The following is a 1,486-nucleotide window of genomic DNA, read 5'->3' on the forward strand; positions in this document are numbered from 1 at the left end:
ATTTACAGATTCAATGCAATCTCTATCAAATTACCAAAGTCATTCCTCACAGAAATAGAAAAAGCAGGAAGGGAGGATCCCAGATGGCTAAATAAAAACAGCTGCAATTGGAGGCTCCCACTGAGAAGAATCAAAACAGTGAGTGAATCCTGCACCAGTAACTGAGGTATCCAGGTTCTGTCATTGGAACTAGGTGGTTTGTGACTCATGGAGAGTGAGGAAAATCAGAGTGGTGCAACAGCCTAAGACCCACATGGGGCAAAGCGAGCTCCCACCCCCAGCCAAAGGAGGCAGTGGGAAGCCACACTTTTTCCAAGGATCTGTGCAACCCACAGATCAGGGAATCCCACTCATGAGCCCATGCCACCAGGGCCTTGGGTCCCAAGCACAGAGTTGTGCAGATTCTCAGCAGCCACTCAGCTGGAGAGTGCCTAAGACTACTGAGCTCCTTGAGGGAAGGGAAGCCATTATCACTGTGGCTGCCTGGTGCCTAAGATGACTGAATTCCAGGAAGGATGGGCAGCAGCCATCACTGCAGCTCCAGCCTGCCATTTTTCCCCTGCTGGGACTGGGGAGACAGAATGGTTTGCACCCAGGAGGAATTCCCCACAGCACAGCACAATGGCTGTGGCAGATCATGGCCAGGCTGCCTTTTTAGGCTGGACTCTGACCCATTCCCTCCTCTCTGGGCTGGGCCGCCCTGCAGGAATTTCAGCAACTCCAGTCAGGGATTTAGGGACAGAACTCTGATCTCCCTGGGACTGAGCCCCTGGGAAGAGGGGGAGCCATGGTCTCTGTGGATCAACAGATTTAGTCTTTCCTTCTGCTGGCTCTGAGAAATGCAGGCAGCCCAGACGAGTGGGATTCCCCACAGTTCAGCACAGCCCCTCTGCCAAGGGGCAGCCAGAGTGCTTCGTTAAGCAGATCCCAGAACCCATGCCCCCTAACTGGGTGAGACACCCCCAAAAGGGGTTGCCAGACACCTTATACAGGAGCATTCCTGCTGGCATCAGATCAGTGCCCCTTGGGGGCAGAGATCCTGGGGGAAGGAGCAGGAAGCCATCTTTGCTGTTCTGCAGCATCCTCAGGTGACACCTCCAGGTGTGGGAGGGTAGGAGGAAAATAGGGTTTGGAGTGAACCCCCAGCAAACGGCAGCAGCCCTACAGAAGAAGGGCCTGACTGTTAAAAGAAAGGCAAACAGAAAGCAAACAGAAAGCAACAACAACAACAGCATCAATGAAAAAGTCTCCACAAAAACCCCATCCAAAGGTCAGCAGCCTCAAAGATTGAAGCTAGACAAACTTATGAAGATGAGAAAGAATCAACAAAAAAAGTGATGAAAACTCAGAAAGCCAGAGTGCCTCCTCTTCACAAGACTTCACCTCTCCAACAAGGGCACAGAACTGAGCAGAGACTGAGATGGACAAATTGACAGAAGTAGGCTTCATAAGGGGGCTAATAACAAACTTCGCTGAGCTAAAGGAG

General features: G+C 51.5%; 1 annotated feature.

The window, feature by feature from the left end:
- Positions 209–710: an enhancer, noted in NCBI's record as "H3K27ac hESC enhancer chr7:91381695-91382196 (GRCh37/hg19 assembly coordinates)". NCBI's record gives its function as "activates a minimal SCP1, AML or CMV promoter by ChIP-STARR-seq in primed H9 embryonic stem cells {active_cell/tissue: H9 hESC(primed)}" and the evidence as "EXISTENCE:reporter gene assay evidence [ECO:0000049][PMID:30033119]".

This window comes from Homo sapiens, chromosome 7 (assembly GCF_000001405.40).
Source record: "Homo sapiens chromosome 7, GRCh38.p14 Primary Assembly".
Taxonomy (NCBI): domain Eukaryota; kingdom Metazoa; phylum Chordata; class Mammalia; order Primates; family Hominidae; genus Homo; species Homo sapiens.